The 19,634-nt window shown below is 42.3% G+C and overlaps 1 protein-coding gene across 3 annotated transcripts in view, besides 2 other annotated features; it reads right to left on the reverse strand.

Annotated features, from left to right (window-relative positions):
- GRID1 (glutamate ionotropic receptor delta type subunit 1) overlaps positions 1-19,634 on the reverse strand; it is a 767,244-nt gene that overhangs the window by 165,520 nt on the left and 582,090 nt on the right. The window lies entirely within an intron of this gene.
- Positions 4,245-4,746: an enhancer, noted in NCBI's record as "H3K4me1 hESC enhancer chr10:87529073-87529574 (GRCh37/hg19 assembly coordinates)". NCBI's record gives its function as "activates a minimal SCP1, AML or CMV promoter by ChIP-STARR-seq in primed H9 embryonic stem cells {active_cell/tissue: H9 hESC(primed)}" and the evidence as "EXISTENCE:reporter gene assay evidence [ECO:0000049][PMID:30033119]".
- Positions 4,747-5,246: an enhancer, noted in NCBI's record as "H3K4me1 hESC enhancer chr10:87529575-87530074 (GRCh37/hg19 assembly coordinates)". NCBI's record gives its function as "activates a minimal SCP1, AML or CMV promoter by ChIP-STARR-seq in primed H9 embryonic stem cells {active_cell/tissue: H9 hESC(primed)}" and the evidence as "EXISTENCE:reporter gene assay evidence [ECO:0000049][PMID:30033119]".

The following is a 19,634-nucleotide window of genomic DNA, read 5'->3' on the forward strand; positions in this document are numbered from 1 at the left end:
TATATCCCATTTAATCCTCAAAACAACCCCATAATTTTGTATTATGTTGTATTATCTCAATTTTCAAGCAGATGAAACTGAGGCTCATAGAAGTTGAATAACTAGTCCATGGTCACACAGCAAGAAAATGGGTCAACTAGGACATGGTATTTGCTTCTGAATTCCATGTGTAAGTGATCATGATTACCCTTAGAAAGCTCTGCATCCAGAGGGAGATTTAGCTGCACGGGCTGGCTTAGGCCTCAAGACCCTCCTGTTGCTCTGGCAATGCTGATTATCAGGGAAGGTCCTAGCAATGTGTTCCCATGTGTCTCCAGTTTAGTAATATTTGAAAAAGTAGGATACAAGTTGAGCACCTCTAATCTGAAAATGCAAAATCCAAAATGCTCCAAAATGTGAAACATTTTGAGCATTGACATGACACAAATGGAAAATTCTATACCTGACCTCATGTAACACATTGCTGTCAAAATGCAGTCAAAATTTTGTTTCATGCAGAAAATTATTTATGATATTCTATAAAATTACCTTCAGGCCATGCATATAAGGTGTATGTGAAACATAAATGAATCTCATGTTTAGACTTAGGTCCCATCCCCAAGATATCACATTATTTATATGCAAATATTCCCAAATCAGAAAAAATCAGAAATCCAAAACACTTCTGGTCCCAAGCATTTCGGATAAAGAACACTCAATCTGAACTTAACTGGAATCAATTCAGACCACTGTTCCACCCAACTTCCTGTTAGCCACACTTTTTCTTGTATCTACTGCTGTAGGATCCACTGTCAGAAATTTTAGGAAGCTAAGTTTTGGGTCTGAGTTTAGTGGGATACTTTCCCATGGTCTAGTTTCACTTCCATGCATAGAAAACATATTGCTGGCTGCCAGAGGGGGACGATTTTAACTGCTGTCATGCTGACTCAACTGGTCTCATACCACAGAGGTGCACAGGTGAGGTTGTGTCGTGGCAGTACATGTGCTGCAGCCCTGGCATCACAAGTATGTGGTGGTAGAGGAGAAACAAGGTTTGAAATAAACCAAGTAAGAAGCCAGCCATGGAAAAATCTTCCAAATCTTCCACCTCACAAAAGAAACTTGGAAGGGTTTCCTTAAATTTGACAATAGGGACTGGGCACAGTGGCTCACGCCTATAATCCCAGCACTTTGAGAGACTGAGGCGTGAGGACTGCATAAGCCCAAGAGTTCGAGACCAGCTTGGGCAATGTGGTGAAACCCCATTTCTATAGAAAATTTAAAAATTAGCCTGGTGGGGTGGCATGTGCCTGTTGTCACAGTTACTTAGGAGGCTGAAGTGGGAGGATCAATTGAACCCAGGAGGTTGAGGCTGCATTGAGCTGTGCTCACCCCACTGCACTCCACTCTGGGAAACAGAGCGAGATTTGTCTAAAAAAAAATGACAATAGTTTTAAATTTACAACACATTACCAATGATAAGAAACCAAACAAAACTTTTCTAAACAACTACTAATAAAAAACTTTCAATCAACCATACCAGAGGAAAGATGAAATAATCTTGCTCTTCTCTCTATGGGACATTAAATTCAAAAGGATTATCATATGAGGAGAGGATCAAAGAGTAGCCAAAAATGACAGGGGAGAAATTATTATGGAACTGTGTGAAAGGCAGATGATTGTGTGTGTGTGTGTGTGTGTGTGTGTGTGTGTGTGTGTGTATGATTTTGTTGTATCTGTCAGGTTTTTCATGTTTTTTAGTATATTTTATTATAATTTTTTCTCATTAAATATTCACTTTCATACCTGATTTTACATTCACAATTTCATATTCTTTTCCTTAAAGTAAAACCTTTGAAACTGCATACACTTCAAGTCTTAGAAAGCCTGGATCTGCCCTGCCTGTGTGTAACTAGAGGGGAAGAGCCTTCCTCTGTATATGCCAAGAATATATCCATGCCCCTCTTGTTTCCTGTAGTCAAATCCACGTCTGTCATTGTCAAATTCCAATAAGGTTTATAATTTCTTGGGAATGAACATTAGCGCATTTGGCAGAGTTATTCCCAGAACTCGAGATCAGGAGAAGCTGGGCCACTCAGGCACAGCTATTTGTCTTATGAAAGTTGTAGCTAATATTTCCCTTTTTACTTTGACCGCTAGGAAATGTAGAGCCAAGTTGGCGAAATGTAGCAATTGTATAAACTCATATAAGTTACACTTCTATGAGCCTATCCTCCTCCCACACCATCACCCCCAATCCTATCCCCAACTTTATTAATTTCTTGTCCTCCATTACCCAGGCTGCAATTCCACCAGTTATTTTTTTCTGATCCATTTTTGGGTGTGTTAGCTGACTCAAGTTCTTTACTGAATCATATTCATTAAAAATTCAAATAATTTAAATAGCATATCTAATATACAAGCAGCATGCTTATTTTTATGATGGGAAAAAGAACTTTGTTAAATGAATAGATAGACAAATACGACCTGAAAGTTCTGAGTCATTTTCATTTTGCTGAAGTTTTGGGCCTGTTGTTAATCATTCCATGGGCAAGAGTCACTGGGTCAGGGAGATGGAAAAGGGGCAAGGAGGAATTCAAGGGAAAGCGGTGGGCATTTCTTCAGTTGTCTTTTTGTCTTTTCATATGCTTGACAGCTGGCAATTTCCTCTGACTTCATGCACACACTTCCCAAATGTGGCTCCTATTCCACCTTTGATATTTCTTTTGGCTGCTGCACCCATCCCGTCCTGATGCAGAATCATTTGGCAGAAGTTGAAAAGCATGAGATGTTTGTTGAGAGCTCTCTGCTCACAAAAGGCTATGGCTGGTGCCACAGCTATAGTGACTACACAGGCACATTAGACACATTGAGCCTTTACATTGCTGTTTGCAGAAAAAAATCCTGTTGACAAGGGATGCAAACCACAAAAGCTTGGAAAGCAAAATCACAGAGTTAAGAGATGCATAGTAATCCCCAAACAGAACAGGAAATGCAAACCCCAGAGACTTTGGTGGAAAGTTTTCTCACCTTCCCAGGAAATCCCGAGCTAAAATCGATTAAAAGGAAATGAAAGCTGAGAATGTTTTTTCCATGACCAACCCCTAAGGAAGTGTGGAAAATATGAAGTATTCAATAAATGGTGTTGGAATAACTGGATGACCATCTGGAAAAATATTAAGTGGAATCCATTTTTCACACAACACACAATACACCAGGATGAATTCCAAAAAATCAAGGATTTAAACACATCAAATTGAAACTATAAAATTTCTAGAAGGTAACATTGAAAAATTATTTAAAATGTAGAGAGCATAAAAGAAGAAAATAGTAATTGGACTACGTGAAAACCTTCCAAGTGGTAAAAAAAAAATGATAATAACAAAAAGAAAATCCAAAAGACAAACAATATTCTGATGAAAATATTGGCAATGTCCAATGCAAAGGGTAATCTCTTTGATGTATAAAACTCCTATAAATAAACAAGAAAGGCACAGATCAACAATTCAGTTTTTAATCTGGAAAAATTATAAGACTAGCCATTAACAGAAAAGGAAAACAAATGCCTCTAAAACATTTGAAAAGATACACAGCCTCATACAGGATAAAGAAAAATACATTTTTCAATTATTCTGTGTTACCATTTTTCACCTAACAGGTTGGCAAAAATCCCAGTTTGGTAAAGCACTGCAGTAACAAGGCTATAAGGAAATTGGAACCCCAATGCATTGTTGACAGATATAGAAATTGACCCAACATCTGTGGAGGCAACTTGGCAATATTTAGCAAAGTCACAAACACACATATACAAATCCTTGTAACCAGTAATTATATTTTTAGGTATTTTTCTTAAAGTTATTCTCACACACTTGTGAATTAATATATGGTCAAAGTCATTTATTCAATACTCTTTTCAGAAGATTGGAAATAGCTTAAATGTCCATCAATTGGGTGTTGGTAAAATAAATCATGCTCTATTCACTCAAAGGAAAGTATTGTACTTGTAAACAAACAAAAAGACTATAGTAATGTACCTGTAAAAAAAAGAATCAAGAAGTTCTTTCTGAACTAATATGAAAATAACTGCAAGAAAAATGGTGAAGAGGCCATGGAATATTATGCAGCCATAAAAAGGGAATAAAATCATGTCCTTTGCAGCAACATGGGTGCAGCTGGAGGCCATTATCCTAAGCAAATTAATACCAGAACAGAAGACCAAATACTGCATGTTCTCACTCATAAGTGGGAGATAAATGTGGGGTACACATGAATATAAAGATGGCAGGAGCTGGAGCCAAGATGGCTGAATAGGAACAGCTCCGGTCTACAGCTCCCAGCGTGAGCGACACAGAAGACGGGTGATTTCTGCATTTCCATCTGGGGTACCGGGTTCATCTCACTAGGGAGTGCCAGACAGTGGGTGCAGGACAGTGGGTGCAGCACACCATGTGCGAGCCGAAGCAGGGCGAGGCATTGCCTCACTCGGAAGTGCAAGGGGTCAGGGAGTTCCCTTTCCGAGTCAAAGAAAGGGGTAACAGACGGCACCTGGGAAATCGGGTCACACCCACCCCAATACTGTGCTTTTCCAACGGGCTTAAAAAATGGCACACCAGGAGATTATATCCTGCACCTGGCTCGGAGGGTCCTACACCCACGGAGTCTCGCTGATTGCTAACAAAGCAGTCTGAGATCAAACTGCAAGGCGGCAGTGAGGCTGGGGGAGGGGCGCCTGCCATTGCCCAGGCTTGCTTAGGTAAACAAAGCAGCAGGGAAGCTCCAACTGGGTGGAGCCCACCACAGCTCAAGGAGGCCTGCCTGCCTCTGTAGGCTCCACCTCTGGGGGCAGGGCACAGACAAACAAAAACACGGCAGTAACCTCTGCAGACTTAAATGTCCCTGTCTGACAGCTTTGAAGAGAGCAGTGGTTCTCCCAGCATGCAGCTGGAGATCTGAGAACGGGCAGACTGCCTCCTCAAGTGGGACCCTAACCCCTGACCCCTGAGCAGCCTAACTGAGAGGCACCCCCCAGTAGGGGCAGACTGACACCTCACACGGCCGGGTACTCCTCTGAAACAAAACTTCCAGAGGAACGATCGGACAGCAGCATTCGCGGTTCACGAAAATCTGCTGTTCTGCAGCCACCGCTGCTGGTACCCAGGCAAACAGGGTCTGGAGTGGACCTCTAGCAAACTCCAACACACTGGCAGCTGAGGGTCCTGTCTGTTAGAAGGAAAACTAACAAACAGAAAGGACATCCACACCAAAAACCCATCTATACATCACCATCATCAAAGACGAAAAGTAGATAAAACCACAAAGATGGGGAAAAAAAAGAGCAGAAAAACTGGAAACTAAAAAGCAGAGCACCTCTCCTCCTCCAAAGGAATGCAGCTCCTCATGAGCAACGGAACAAAGCTGGACGGAGAATGCCTTTGACAAGTTGAGAGAAGAAGGCTTCAGACGATCAAACTACTCCTAGCTACAGGAGGAAATTCAAACCAAAGGCAAAGAAGTTGAAAACTTTGAAAAAAACTTAGACGAATGTATAACTAGAATAACCAATACAGAGAAGTGCTTAAAGGAACTGATGGAGCTGAAAGCCAAGGCTCGAGAACTACGTGAAGAATGCAGAAGCCTCGGGAGCCGATGCGATCAACTAGAAGAAAGGGTATCAGTGATGGAAGATGAAATGAATGAAATGAAGTGAGAAGGGAAGTTTAGAGAAAAAAGAATAAAAAGAAACGAACAAAGCCTCCAAGAAATATGGGACTATGTGAAAAGACCAAATCTACGTCTGATTGGTGTACCTGAAAGTGACGGGGAGAATGGAACCAAGATGGAAAACACTCTGCAGGGTATTATCCAGGAGAACCCCAGCCTAGCAAGGCAGGCCAACATTCAGATTCAGGAAATACAGAGAACGCCACAAAGATACTCCTCGAGAAGAGCAACTCCAACACACATAATTGTCAGATTCACCAAAGTTGAAATGAAGGAAAAAATGTTAAGGGCAGCCAGAGAGAAAGGTCGGGTTACCCACAAAGGGAAGCCCATCAGACTAACATCGGATCTCTCGGCAGAAACTCTACAAGCCAGAAGAGAGTGGGGGCCAATATTCAACACTCTTAAGGAAAAGAATTTTCAACCCAGAATTTCATATCCAGCCAAACTAAGATTCATAAGTGAAGGAGAAATAAAATACTTTACAGACAAGCAAATGCTGAGAGATTTTGTCACCACGAGGCCTGCCCTGAAAGAGCTCCTGAAGGAAGCACTAAACATGGAAAGGAACAACCGGTACCAGCCACTGCAAAATCATGCCAAATTGTAAAGACCATCGAGGCTAGGAAGAAACTGCATCAACTAACGAGCAAAATAACCAGCTAACATCATAATGACAGGATCAAATTCACACATAACAATATTAACTTTAAATGTAAATGGACTAAATGCTCCAATTAAAAGACACAGACTGGCAAATTGGATAAAGAGTCAAGACCCATCAGTGTGCTGTATTCAGGAAACCCATCTCATGTGCAGAGACACAAATAGGCTCAAAATAAAAGGATAGAGGAAGATCTACCAAGCAAATGGAAAACAAAAAAAGGCAGGGGTTGCAATCCTAGTCTCTGATAAACAGACTTTAAACCAGCAAATATCAAAAGAGACAAAGGCGGCCATTACATAATGGTAAAGGGATCAATTCAACAAGAAGAGCTAACTATCCTAAATATATATGCACCCAATACAGGAGTACCCAGATTCATAAAGCAAGTCCTGAGTGACCTACAAAGAGACTTAGACTCCCACACAATAACAGTGGGAGACTTTAACACCCCACTGTCAACATTAGACAGATCAACGAGACAGAAAGTTAACAAGGATACCCAGGAATTGAACTTAGCTCTGCACCAAGTGGACCTAATAGACATCTACAGAACTCTCCACCCCAAATCAACAGAATATACATTCTTTTCAGCACCACACCACACCTATTCCAAAATTGACCACATAGTTGGAAGGAGAGCTCTCCTCAGCAAATGTAAAAGATAAGAAATCATAACAAACTGTCTCTCAGACCACAGTGCAATCAAACTAGAACTCAGGATTAAGAAACTCACTCAAAACCACTCAACTACATGGAAACTGAACAACCTGCTCCTGAATGACTACTGGGTACATAACGAAATGAAGGCAGAAATAAAGATGTTCTTTGAAACCAACAAGAACAAAGACACAACATACGAGAATCTCTGGGACACATTCAAAGCAGTGTGTAGAGGGAAATTTATAGCACTAAATGCCCACAAGAGAAAGCAGGAAAGATCCAAAATTGACACCCTAATGTCACAATTAAAAGAACTAGAAAAGCAAGAGCAAACACATTCAAAAGCTAGCAGAAGGCAAGAAATAACTAAAATCAGAGCAGAACTGAAGGAAATAGAGACACAAAAAACCCTTCAAAAAATTAATGAATCCAGGAGCTGGTTTTTTGAAAGGATCAACAAAACTGATAGACTGCTAGCAAGACTAATAAAGAAGAAAAGAGAGAAGAAGCAAATAGACGCAATAAAAAATGATAAAAGGGATATCACCACCGATCCCACAGAAATACAAACTACCATCAGAGAATACTATAAACACCTCTACGCAAATAAACTAGAAAATCTAGAAGAAATGGATAAATTCCTCGACACATACACCCTCCCAAGACTAAACTAGGAAGAAGTTGAATCTCTGAATAGACCAATAGCAGGCTCTGAAATTGGGGCAATAATCAATAGCTTATCAACCAAAAAGAGTCCAGGACCAGAAGGATTCACAGCCGAATTCTACCACAGGTACAGGGAGGAACTGGTACCATTCCTTCTGAAACTATTCCAATCAATAGAAAAAGAGGGAATCCTCCCTAACTCATTTTATGAGGCCAGCATCATCCTGATACCAAAGCCGGGCAGAGACAAAACCAAAAAAGACAATTTTAGACCAATATCCTTGATGAACATTGATGCAAAAATCCTCAATAAAATACTGGCAAACCGAATCCAGCAGCACATCAAAAACCTTATCCACCATGATCAAGTGGGCTTCATCCCTGGGATGCCAGGCTGGTTCAATATACACAAATCAATAAATGTAATCCAGCATATAAACAGAACCAAAGACAAAAACCACATGATTATCTCAATAGATGCAGAAAAGGCCTTTGACAAAATTCAACAACCCTTCATGCTAAAAACTCTCAATAAATTAGGTATTGATGGGATGTATCTCAAAATAATAAGAGCTATCTATGACAAGCCCACAGCCAATATCATACTGAATGGGCAAAAACTGGAAGCATTCCCTTTGAAAACTGGCACAAGACAGGGATGCCCCCTCTCACCACTCCTATTCAACATAGTGTTGGAAGTTCTGGCCAGGGCAATTAGGCAAGAGAAGGAAATAAAGGTTATTCAATTAGGAAAAGAGGAAGTCAAATTGTCCCTGTTTGCAGATGACATGATTGTATATCTAGAAAACCCCATTGTCTCAGCCCAAAATCTCCTTAAGCTGATAAGCAACTTCAGCAAAGTCTCAGGATACAAAATCAATGTACAAAAATCACAAGCATTCTTAAATACCAATAACAGGCAAACAGAGAGCCAAATCATGAGTGAACTCTCATTTACAATTGCTTCAAAGAGAATAAAATACCTAGGAATCCAACTTACAAGGAACGTGAAGGACCTCTTCAAGGAGAACTACAAACCACTGCTCAATGAAATGAAAGAGGATACAAAGAAATGGAAGAACATTCCATGCTCATGGCTAGGAAGAATCAATATCATGAAAATGGCCATACTGCCCAAGGTAATTTATAGATTCAATGCCATTCCCATCAAGCTACCAATGACTTTCTTCACAGATTTGGAAAAGACTACTTCAAAGTTCATATGGAACCAAAAGAGAGCCCGCATCGCCAAGTCAATCCTAAGCCAAAAGAACAAAGCTGTAGGCATCACGCTATCTGACTTCAAACTATACTACAAGGCTACAGTCACCAAAACAGCATGGTACTGGTACCAAAACAGAGATAGCGATCAATGGAACAGAACAGAGCCCTCAGAAATAACGCCGCATATCTACAACTATCTGATCTTTGACAAACCTGAGAAAAACAAGCAATGGGGAAAGGATTCCCTATTTAATAAATGGTGCTGGGAAAACTGGCTAGCCATATGTAGAAGGCTGAAACTGGATCCCTTCCTTACACCTTATACAAAAATTAATTCAAGATGGATTAAAGACTTAAATGTTAGACCTAAAACCATAAAAACCCTAGAAGAAAACCTAGGCATTACCATTCAGGACATAGGCATGGGCAAGAACTTCATGTCTAAAACACCAAAAGCAATGGCAACAAAAGCCAAAATTGACAAATGGAATCTAATTAAACTAAAGAGCTTCTGCACAGCAAAAGAAACTACCATCAGAGTGAACAGGCAACCTACAACATGGGAGAAAATTTTCGCAACCTACTCATCTGACAAAGGGCTAATATCCAGAATCTACAATGAACTCAAACAAATTTACAAGAAGAAAACAAACAACCCTATTAAAAAGTGGGCAAAGGACATGAACAGACACTTCTGAAAAGAAGACATTTATGCAGCCAAAAAACACATGAAAAAATGCTCACCATCACTGGCCATCAGAGAAATGCAAATCAAAACCACAATGAGATACCATCTCACACCAGTTAGAATGGCAATCATTAAAAAGTCAGGAAACAACAGGTGCTGGAGAGGATGTGGAGAAATAGGAACACTTTTACACTGTTGGTGGGACCGTAAACTAGTTCAACCATTGTGGAAGTCAGTGTGGCGATTCCTCAGGGATCTAGAACTAGAAATACCATTTGACCCAGCCATCCCATTACTGGGTATATACCCAAAGGACTATAAATCATGCTGCTATAAAGACACATGCAGACGTATGTTTATTGAGGCACTATTCACAATAGCAAAGACTTGGAACCAACCCAAATGTCCATCAATGATAGACTGGATTAAGAAAATGTGGCACATATACACCATGGAATACTATGCAGCCATAAAAAATGATGAGTTCATGTCCTTTGTAGGGATATGGATGAAAGTGGAAATCATCATTCTCAGTAAACTATCACAAGAACAAAAAACCAAACACCACATATTCTCACTCATAGGTGGGAATTGAACAATGAGAACACATGGACACAGGAAGGGGAACATCACACTGTGGGGACTGTTGTGGGGTCGGGGGAGGGAGGAGGGATAGCTTTAGGAGATATACGTGATGCTAAATGATGAGTTAATGGGTGCAGTACACCAGCATGGCACATGTATACATATGTAACTAACCTGCACATTGTGCACATGTACCCTAAAATCTTAAAGTATAATAATAATAAAATAAAATTTAAAAAAAAGATGGCAACAATAGACACTGGGGACTCCTAGAGGAGGAAGGGAGGGGAGAGTGGCAAGTGTTGCAGAACTAACTATTGGGTACTATGCTCACTACCTAGGTAATGAGATCCATCGTAGCCCAAACTTCAGCATCACACAATATAACCATGTAAGAAACCTGCACCTATACCCCCCGAATCTAAAATAATAGTTGAAATCATTTAAAAATTTTAAATTTTTTGTAAAAGAATATTGTTGAAAAGGGGGTTGAGAAATATCTATTCCAATTTATTTGGTTTAAAGAACTGTATATGAGAAAATAACAACATTAGGCATCTCTTCAGGCAGGGTGGAAGTGAGGACTAAACACAAAAGAGTCACTCTCTTTGTGGGTGGGGAGCAGGACTTTCACTATATAATAGTTTTGTTCAAATTTTTGCACCACATGAATATATAATATAATCAAATAGTTTAACAATCAAAACAGATTTAACCTAATGAATTTTTTTAAATATATGTAACTGAGATCAGAAAAAAAAAACATACTCAAAAAAGCATTGGTGGTCTCATTAGTTAGCCAGATGGTCTAGTTAGAAGCCATGCACTGAAGAGACTTGGGTTTGTGTCCCAACCTAGGCACAACACCTCCACGTTCTTAACTACGATGCCCTTGCCTGCTGGAGGAAATGGTTGGTGTAAGGCCTTTGCTGCTCCAAGAGAAGACTACAAAGATAAGCAAGCAGCTCTTGATGTTATGGGCCCAGGAATAAGCACTTCACCTATGCAATGTCAAATAAAAATTAATCCTAAAAACAACCCTTTTTATAAGGGACAGAAGTGAGGCTCAGATCAATTTCATGCTTTCCACAACAAAGAACGTAGAGCAGACAATTGATAGCAGAGAAAAATATAAAAGGTTACTAAATAAATATGAAATACTCTCCCACCTTCTCCACTTAGGAGAAAAATAGAAACACACGCAAGACAGTGCCAGGGTCCTGGCTGGGGCAGAGCTGAGGTCACCTCTCCAGGGAAGTGGCAAGAACTGGGGTGGCCTGTGTTGAGACCTCCACATAGCCAGCAGCCGAGGGGAGGCAGCAGAAGGGGAGATCACTGCTTGGAAGCCACACCTTAGAATGGAGGACTCTACCAAGCGCAGCGACCGCAGCCCTAACTCAGATTGTCAAGCCTCTATGTCAACAAGCAAATGCTACCGGTGATCCAGGTGCCCAACATCCTCTGCCAACGCAGAGGAGGTTGGCCTGCAAGGGCACTGGCTCTCTGAACTGAGTAAAGTGAGGCAGGGATGAAGCTAACAGCCATGTTCTGGCATAGTCCTCAAATCTCTGCTGTGTCCACTGAATCTCAAGTCTGCTAGTCCTTGTGTGGCTTGCTCACTAGCCAAGCTTTCTGGGGACACAGGGAGGCAGAAAGCAGACCACAGTGAGAGGCTAGCAAAGAAATGCATTTGCTACCTATAGCTACAACAAACTGTGGTATTGGCAGCTGAAATCATTATCTGGATAAAAACAAACAGCAAATTTGACAATAAAATGCATTACTTCCCAGTGTAATGGGAAAGGGTCCTATATCAGCACAAACCTCCACCTTCCTCTCTAATTCTCCAACCTAATGTATAATTACAGCTGGGCACCTTCTCCTCTGGCCTACCAACCATGCCCTCTGCCCTAATAAGTGGGCATCTAAATCAGGGAGGTGGGGATGTTCCCAGAATTAGCAGTGGGCAAAGGCCAATGCTACAAAAACCTGGGGTCCACTCTCTCCCCTGGGCCCTCCTTTCTCCCAGCCTGTAATATTTCCAGAAGAGCTTTGCCTACCTCCAGCCTACTGTCCACTCAACAAATCCATTCATATCTTCTAGGAGTCCCCATAATGCCTGTCAACTTTGCTGAACATTGGTATCCTTGGAAGACTTTAAAATAGACTGATGCCTGGCTCCCACACCTGGGCTTATGATTTAAGTAGAATGGGGTAGGACCTGGGCACTGGGATTTTTAAGAGCTTCCAGGTGATTCTAACATACAGCAAGGACTGGAGACCCATGTCATATTGTTGTCTTGTTTTGTTTCTTTGAAGTTCTCATCATGTGTCTTCATAGAAATTACAATCTAATGGAGAAAACAGCCATGATTTCATGTAAAAGGAAATTGCCAATTTACTTGCTTTTTGCCTACTAAAGAGACTTCTCAACTGGTCATAGCTCAGGATAGGAGGATGAACTGACCATGGGACTCTCCCAGTTTTCGCAGTGAAAGTCCTACCTCCCAGGAAATTCCTTAGTCCTGGGCAAATGAGGAATGTTGGTTACCACAGCCAAGGACACAACATCACTCAGCAGTGATAGACAGGCATTCAGCAATCATCAGACACTCTTGTACGCAGAAATTTAGTCCTAATTAAAACTAGGGGGATGATATTGAGGAAAGAATAAATCCACACCCCAAATGTATTTCTGTACATGGTCTATCATCTCAAGACTCATTAATTAACAATTCTTGGGCATCTTGGTGTCAGGTTCTGTTGTCCATGGGATCTGTTGGAAGACACTATGTTCTGTTGTGGAATTCAAGAGATAAATAAAAGATGAAGCTGGAATCAATGGGACTAGAACTACATGGACGAGAAAAGGGGTTCTGAGGAGCACACACAGGGAGCATTGGCACTGGCCCTGGAGGGGCTCTGGAAGTGTCAGAGCAGCTGTGAGAGCTCAGGGGCATGAGATGAACCCGTGTCTGGCACACCTGCTAGACAAGCAGAAACTCCAGTGGGAATCATGATGGGGACCAGGGCCATGCAGTGACAAGGTGAGGAACAGGTGGCTCAGCAAGGTAAGAGGTAGGCCAGAGCAGGGGTTGAGAGGTGGGGACAGCATTGAATGAAGTGTCACTGGGAATGAAATGCCACTCCAGGGCTAGGTTGTCAGGAACCATGTGGTATTCACCCCCAAAAAATAATTCATTGTGCTTCCCTTTTCTGCTCATCATTATAGCGCCCCAGGATAGTGTGATAAGCAAAAAGATACAGTTCCTGACCTCGGAAAACTCACTTTCTAGTGCATGGGAAGAGGAAAAAACAAAACAATTTCAGGGCAAGGAGACAAGTTTGACCTGTGTGCTGTGCTGATGATTTGTATTTTAACTTACACTCAACAGAAAACCAAGAATTCCCAGCAGTAAAAACAACATAGCAAGGTGTTTTAGAGAAACTTCTGAGACAGAAAAAGTATACAAAAAGCCTTCAAAGCTTCTGAGCCAGCTTCCTGAACACCCAGCCTGGAGGCAGATAGTACAGGTCAGACCCTATTTCCAGTCTGCCATGCTGTGGGATCCTGGGTGAGCTATGCCTCCCTTCTGCAAAATGGGGCCAATATCAGTGCTTAATCATGGAAGACCAGACAGATATAGCTGGGAAGAGTGTGGAATAAAGACAGCATCTCCAGGAAATAATAATATTTAGAGGAGGATGAAGGAGAAGAAAGCAGCTATGAAGTCTGAGAAGCAGCCAAGCCTTTAAACAAAAAACAGTTCTGGAAATGATTTAAGTTGTCATTTTTCAAAATGTCTTCAGTGAAGTTAAATACTTTTATTTCTTCATGCTGTTCATGCAACCAAGCTGCTGTTGGAGAAAAGTTGGGTGAAAAAGCTCTGCTGCCTGTCAAGGAAGGAAAATGTAGCTCGGAAGCCCCGGCCCAGGAGGACCTTGTCGAATTTGCTGCTGTTTCTCAGTCTACGAAGGCCTCCAGGCAAACACATAAAGCACATCAAATGGGAACAAGACTCAATTTTTGTTCCCCTGCTTCACTCTACTGGAAAAATCCAAAACCTGCCTTAGGAGAGTGAAATCTCTCTAACTTGATGGGAGTCTTCTCAGTTCTCCTGCCAGGGTTTCATCCCTACCATGTAGTGTAGGCATCAGATGCTCACTGAGTACCCACTGGCTACTGCATGCCAGGCCCTGTGCTCCCAGCAGACATCACCACTCCCAGATGTTTCAGAAGGACAGACACCCAGGTAACGATAGACTCCTTTGCAAATCAGAAAGGACAGGCTCAACTGATCCTCTCCCGGCCCAGGCTGGGCTTTTCTGTTTTAATCAAAATATGTTGAATACCAGAAAGATTGGACAGCATTTGACAGCATTATCCACTCTACAAGCAGAAATGTGACGAGGTTAATTACATCATCTAAAGAGGTCCTAACTGCCCCTTCCAGGCATGTTCTATGAGTTTGCCCCTGAATGAGCAGTCACTAATACCTCCTAATCTCACACAACAGGCACTGGCAATGCAGCCCTGTGGAGATGAAGACGGAAAGGGAAAAGGAAAGTTACACATGGAAATGATGGGTGCTTTCTACGAAGGCACCATGTGCAGGGAAGCAGTCCTTTGCATTTGGACCTGGTTGGCTTTGCATGCTAGCAGAGTCTGTGGGATGTTGGAAAGATGCCTGCCGGAGAAAGGGAAGGGGTAAATGACTAGGGCAGGTGCAGCACCATGCAGATTCTCCATCCCATCTTCTTTCCAGGCACTAGCCCATGTCATGTGCTCCCTTAAGGCTCAGCAGTGCCAAGTCAAGATTGGATGAAATAAAAGGGGCAGAGCAGCTCTACCTCGCACCATGCTTGGCATTGGGAGGACATCTTGAGATCGTTGTCTAATCCCAGCCCTAGAGCATCAGAGCAAATTTACCAGAGAGGAGAGGAGGATCTGCGAGGCCACTGTCCACTCAGAGCCTTGCTGCCATGGGCACTGCAGTCCAGATAGACCAGAACCACAGCCATCAGCAGCTGGGATTCAGAACATGCCCAGATGCAATGGCCACCACATCCCCCACAGATTTACAAACCCAGGCCTACCTGGAGGAGGTAGAGGAGGAAGTGGGGCTGGAGTGAGAAGAACTGGTATAATCTGGTGTTACAGAGAGCCCTGTTTCTCATCCTGCACCACGGGGCAGAAGTCCTGTTTCTCCTAATTACTATTCTGTGACCTTGAGCACATTACTTAACCTCACTCAGCCTCAGCTCCCCCATCACTAGGATGTGGATGATAATCCCTCCTATGGGGCTGCTGCTTACCAGTACTGAGCCGATGTTTTCGAAATGCCTGGCACACCATGGGCCTCATACAAGGTTAGTTATGACAATGGCACTTCTGAGCCAGCTTCCTGAACACCCAGCCTGGAGGCAGATAGTACAGGTCAGACCCTATTTCCACTCTGCCATGCTGTGGGATCCTGGGTGAGCTACGCCTCCCTTCTGTAAAATGGGGTCAATATCAATGCTTAATCATGGAAGTCAAGTCACAGTGGTGTTCTGAGGATTAAATTAGGCATTTGATGCAAAGCCATTCAAAAACTTCCTGGCACATAGTGTTTTATAAATAGTTGTTGCTATTATAATTGCACAAGTGTGGTCTTGTAAAGAGAGACCAGAAAATGCCCTGCTTGGCCCAGGGGTGTGTCCATGGTGAACACCAGAGTGCTTGGAAACCCAGTTTCCAAAGGAGGGCCAAGCAGCCACTGGGCTCAGGAGCCCACTCCTGGGAAGGAATGATTTTCTCTATTACATGAAGTTTCCTCCAATCTCTACAGAGTTTTGGAGGGCTCGCCTGATCTCCCCAACCAGAAGGGGAAATGAAGTAGGTGCTTCTAGGATTAAAAGCTGGCATTTGAATCTCTGCTCACAGATGGAAAGTAAAAGTAGCAGAACCCAATTTTAAAAAATCAATATCAAATTAAGGATAATTTTTCCTCTGCTAGAAGGAGACTAAAGCTAATTCCCCTGGACTTCTGAGTCATAATATCATTTGGGGAAGAACATTTCCCTTCAAATATTGAGACATCTCTGCGTGCTCCCACTATGCCACATAAGCATGATTAGCTCCATCAGAAATTAATCCTTTGTTCCCTGAAATCCATATAGTTACTTTTTTGTAGTATGTTTCTGACAAATGAATAATCTACTTTTGTAAAATACAACATTATTGATTACATGAGCTGCAGTATAGCAGTGGCTGGCCAGTTGCAAACGTGGTGGTTGAGATGATAAAATGCCTGTGTGATGCTGGAGCGTAGGTAACAAGTGGGTGACTGAGGGTCAAACTTTCAGACCACAGCATGTGACTCAGGAAATGCTAACTCATTCCCTCAAGCCTCCTGAGTAAAATCTGTATTTAAAGAGCATCTACTACATGGCTGGCCTCATGTTGGGCATTTTACACAGAGGACAGTGTTATATAAGCCTGTGAAGTAAGTATCATGGCCTTCAATTTCCAATGAAGAAAGAGAGATATATTGTACATTTGAAAAAAAAAAAAACCAAAAACTAGTTCAAGATCACACAGTCAGTAACTTGCTGGGCCTGGATTTATACACAAAAATGTCTGGGCTTAGAATCCATCATCTTAATCACTAGGCCCTGACAAGCTCTTCCAGACCTCAATGGTTATTTAGGAGGCCAGGAATTCTCAACAGTTTAACATTGGTTTGATCTATTTTTGTTAGTCTTTTTTGTCAAAATTAATCTTCCTAAAGGCAAAAAATTTAAAGTTTAATTACAATAAATCCAAATTAATGTTCTCATAATAATTTCATAACATTTTTAAAATGTTTACAAAGCCAGCCAGGTCTGGGAGCTACTGCAATTAGCCCAAAATCACAATAACAGCAATAATACCAATTACGACACTTAACAACTGACCCTCAGACAAGAAATGTGAGTGCACATGCACACACACACACACACACGCACTTACACAGTAATCAGAATCCACATTGTAACATCATGCAAGGAAAATGTTTGGAAAATTGACAATCAATGCCTTTTATGAGATCTCTGTAGGACGGGCAGTATCATTGTCTACTGACAGCTTGAAAACAGAATTTCTTCATTCATTCAACAAATGTTTATTGAGCATGCCAGGCCCTGTTCTAAACCTTGGGGACCCAGCAATTAAAAAAACAAGTAAAAATCACTGCTGTCTTATATGTTACAATTTAGTGAAGGTAGTCTAATACAGGTGTTATATGGGATGAGCAATGGGAAGTGTTAGAGTTGAAATGTTAAGTGAACAAAAGAATCTCATTGAAGAAGAGTTATTTGAGTAAAAACCTTGAAAGATTGGGGGCAGTAAGGCAAATGAGTATCAGGGGAAGGGCATTCTGGGCTGAGGGAGCAGCGAGTGCAAAGGCCCTGACGTAGATGCATGCCTGGTGGGCATAAAATGAGTGCAATACTGCCAGGGCAGCTGCTGTGGAGCCAGGGATGTCACAGGGGACTGGGTCACATGGGCCTCAGAGACTATTCTAGAAAAGATTCAAGTACAAATTAGTGTACGTGCACGTCTAAATCTTCTTCCAGGAGGAATTTTGGGCAGCTGACCCAGTTAATTGCAATAAAAGACACACATTGACATGGGATCAAAAGAAGAAAGAAAATGAATAAGGATGGAAATAAACTACAGCCAGAACGGCACTAGAAATGCCTAAAAAGATGATCTCTCCACGTCTCCAACAGCTGGGCCTCATTTTTCTTCTCAGCCTCCTAGGAGTCACAGTTGGCACAAACAGGGAAATGCTATTCATCACCAAATGCACCATCCCCAGAGAATAAGTGCCAACAACTCAATCTGAGGGATTAAAACTGTTTTTGGCATTGTAATTAGAAAAGACTGTCTCCCGGGGGATCATATATCCAGACTCTGTGAAGCAAAGTGGACAACAGCATCGCTAGCAGCACCCTTGCAATGAAGGCGACAAGAAGCTTCCCAGACCCTGTTTCTTAGGTAAAGTGCAAGGTGCTCAAACCAGTTCTGCCAAGGGTGCAGAGAGGGCTGGGCATCTGAAGGCGCTACTCTCTGACAGAGAGACTGACCACACACAGGTTTATAATATCAAGAAGTGGGGCAAGACCTCTCATCCTTCATGTAATCCTCACCGAATGGAGTTCCTCGAATCTGATTTTATGGACAGAAAGATAGACAGTGAGCTCAGGACTGTCGTGGCATTGCCCAGAAACCCACTGAATATAGCTCTTGTGGTTGCCAGGGGAGGACTAACCTCTGAGGATTCACAGAAAATAAACCAGAATGAAAATGACATACCTTTGTAGGAGCCAAGGATCTTGCTAAAAACACTTCGTCCTTGTGTCATGAGGTGAGCTGAGGATTACCACTGGTGGGAACAGGGATCACTTTAGAAAACTGCCACGAGTCTGCTTCAGTGCACAGACAAATAGGCAATCAGGGACCTGCCCAAAACTCCCTCTCATCCAGCATGGCCAGAATTGTTTTACTCCAAAAAAATATATAAAGCTGTTGTCACCAGAAGCTTACTTGAGCCAAAATAAAACCTCCCAAGAGTACCCAGAGAAGAGCATTCTTTGAGATAGCCTGGCCACTCCCAGGATGCTGCATGTCATGTGGGGGTTATTGGTTAGTTGAGGTTGGGAGATATCGCTGGCATCAGGGGGCCCAGGGCCTTTTAAGAACAAGAGCATGTAATGTTCAGCTTCTTCGTGATTTCCTAGGTGGGGCTGTGATGTAACCACTCTCCAACATGTCAAACCTTCAGCAAAATCTGCTACAGATTAAAAAGGAGCTGGGGAACATCTTGCAAAGGAAATAATGTAAATATTAAGAAAACTGAAACATGGACCTTCTCTTGCAAGAATTATTTTGAGGGTCTAAACAGGAATCATCTAGCTCAAGATGTTAAAAGCATGCCAGATGTAAATTAAAGAACTTTTACTTTCAATAGTGGGGTCTTTGCTCATCTCTGAGGCTCTGACTACATAAACCAATCCTCAAGCCCATAAACACTCCACAGCATGCACCTCAGGTGTGTCCAGGAGGCTAATGGGTAGTACAGACCTCTAGACAGAGGATCAGAGGCCACAGAGGACAATGGGTCAAGGGAGTTCTTCCTAGGGGACAGAACTAGAGTCTGTCCGGGGCACTCTGTCCACCGCCATGGCTAATGTGCTCATGGGGCTTCCCAGGAATTCAGCAACGCCCTGAATGATGGCCGTGCATCTCCCTTTCCCCCTTCTACCAAGTGGGATGCTTACTGCATTTATCCTGTCCCAATTCTAGGACCGTGTCTGGTGTGCTTTGGGAGCATGGACTGCAGACAACCGTGAGCATCAGTTTGCTTGTCTAAGCTCCTGAGTCACAGTACAGCAAGGAGCCCATCTTAAGCTGATGGA

This window comes from Homo sapiens, chromosome 10 (assembly GCF_000001405.40).
Source record: "Homo sapiens chromosome 10, GRCh38.p14 Primary Assembly".
Classification (NCBI taxonomy): domain Eukaryota; kingdom Metazoa; phylum Chordata; class Mammalia; order Primates; family Hominidae; genus Homo; species Homo sapiens.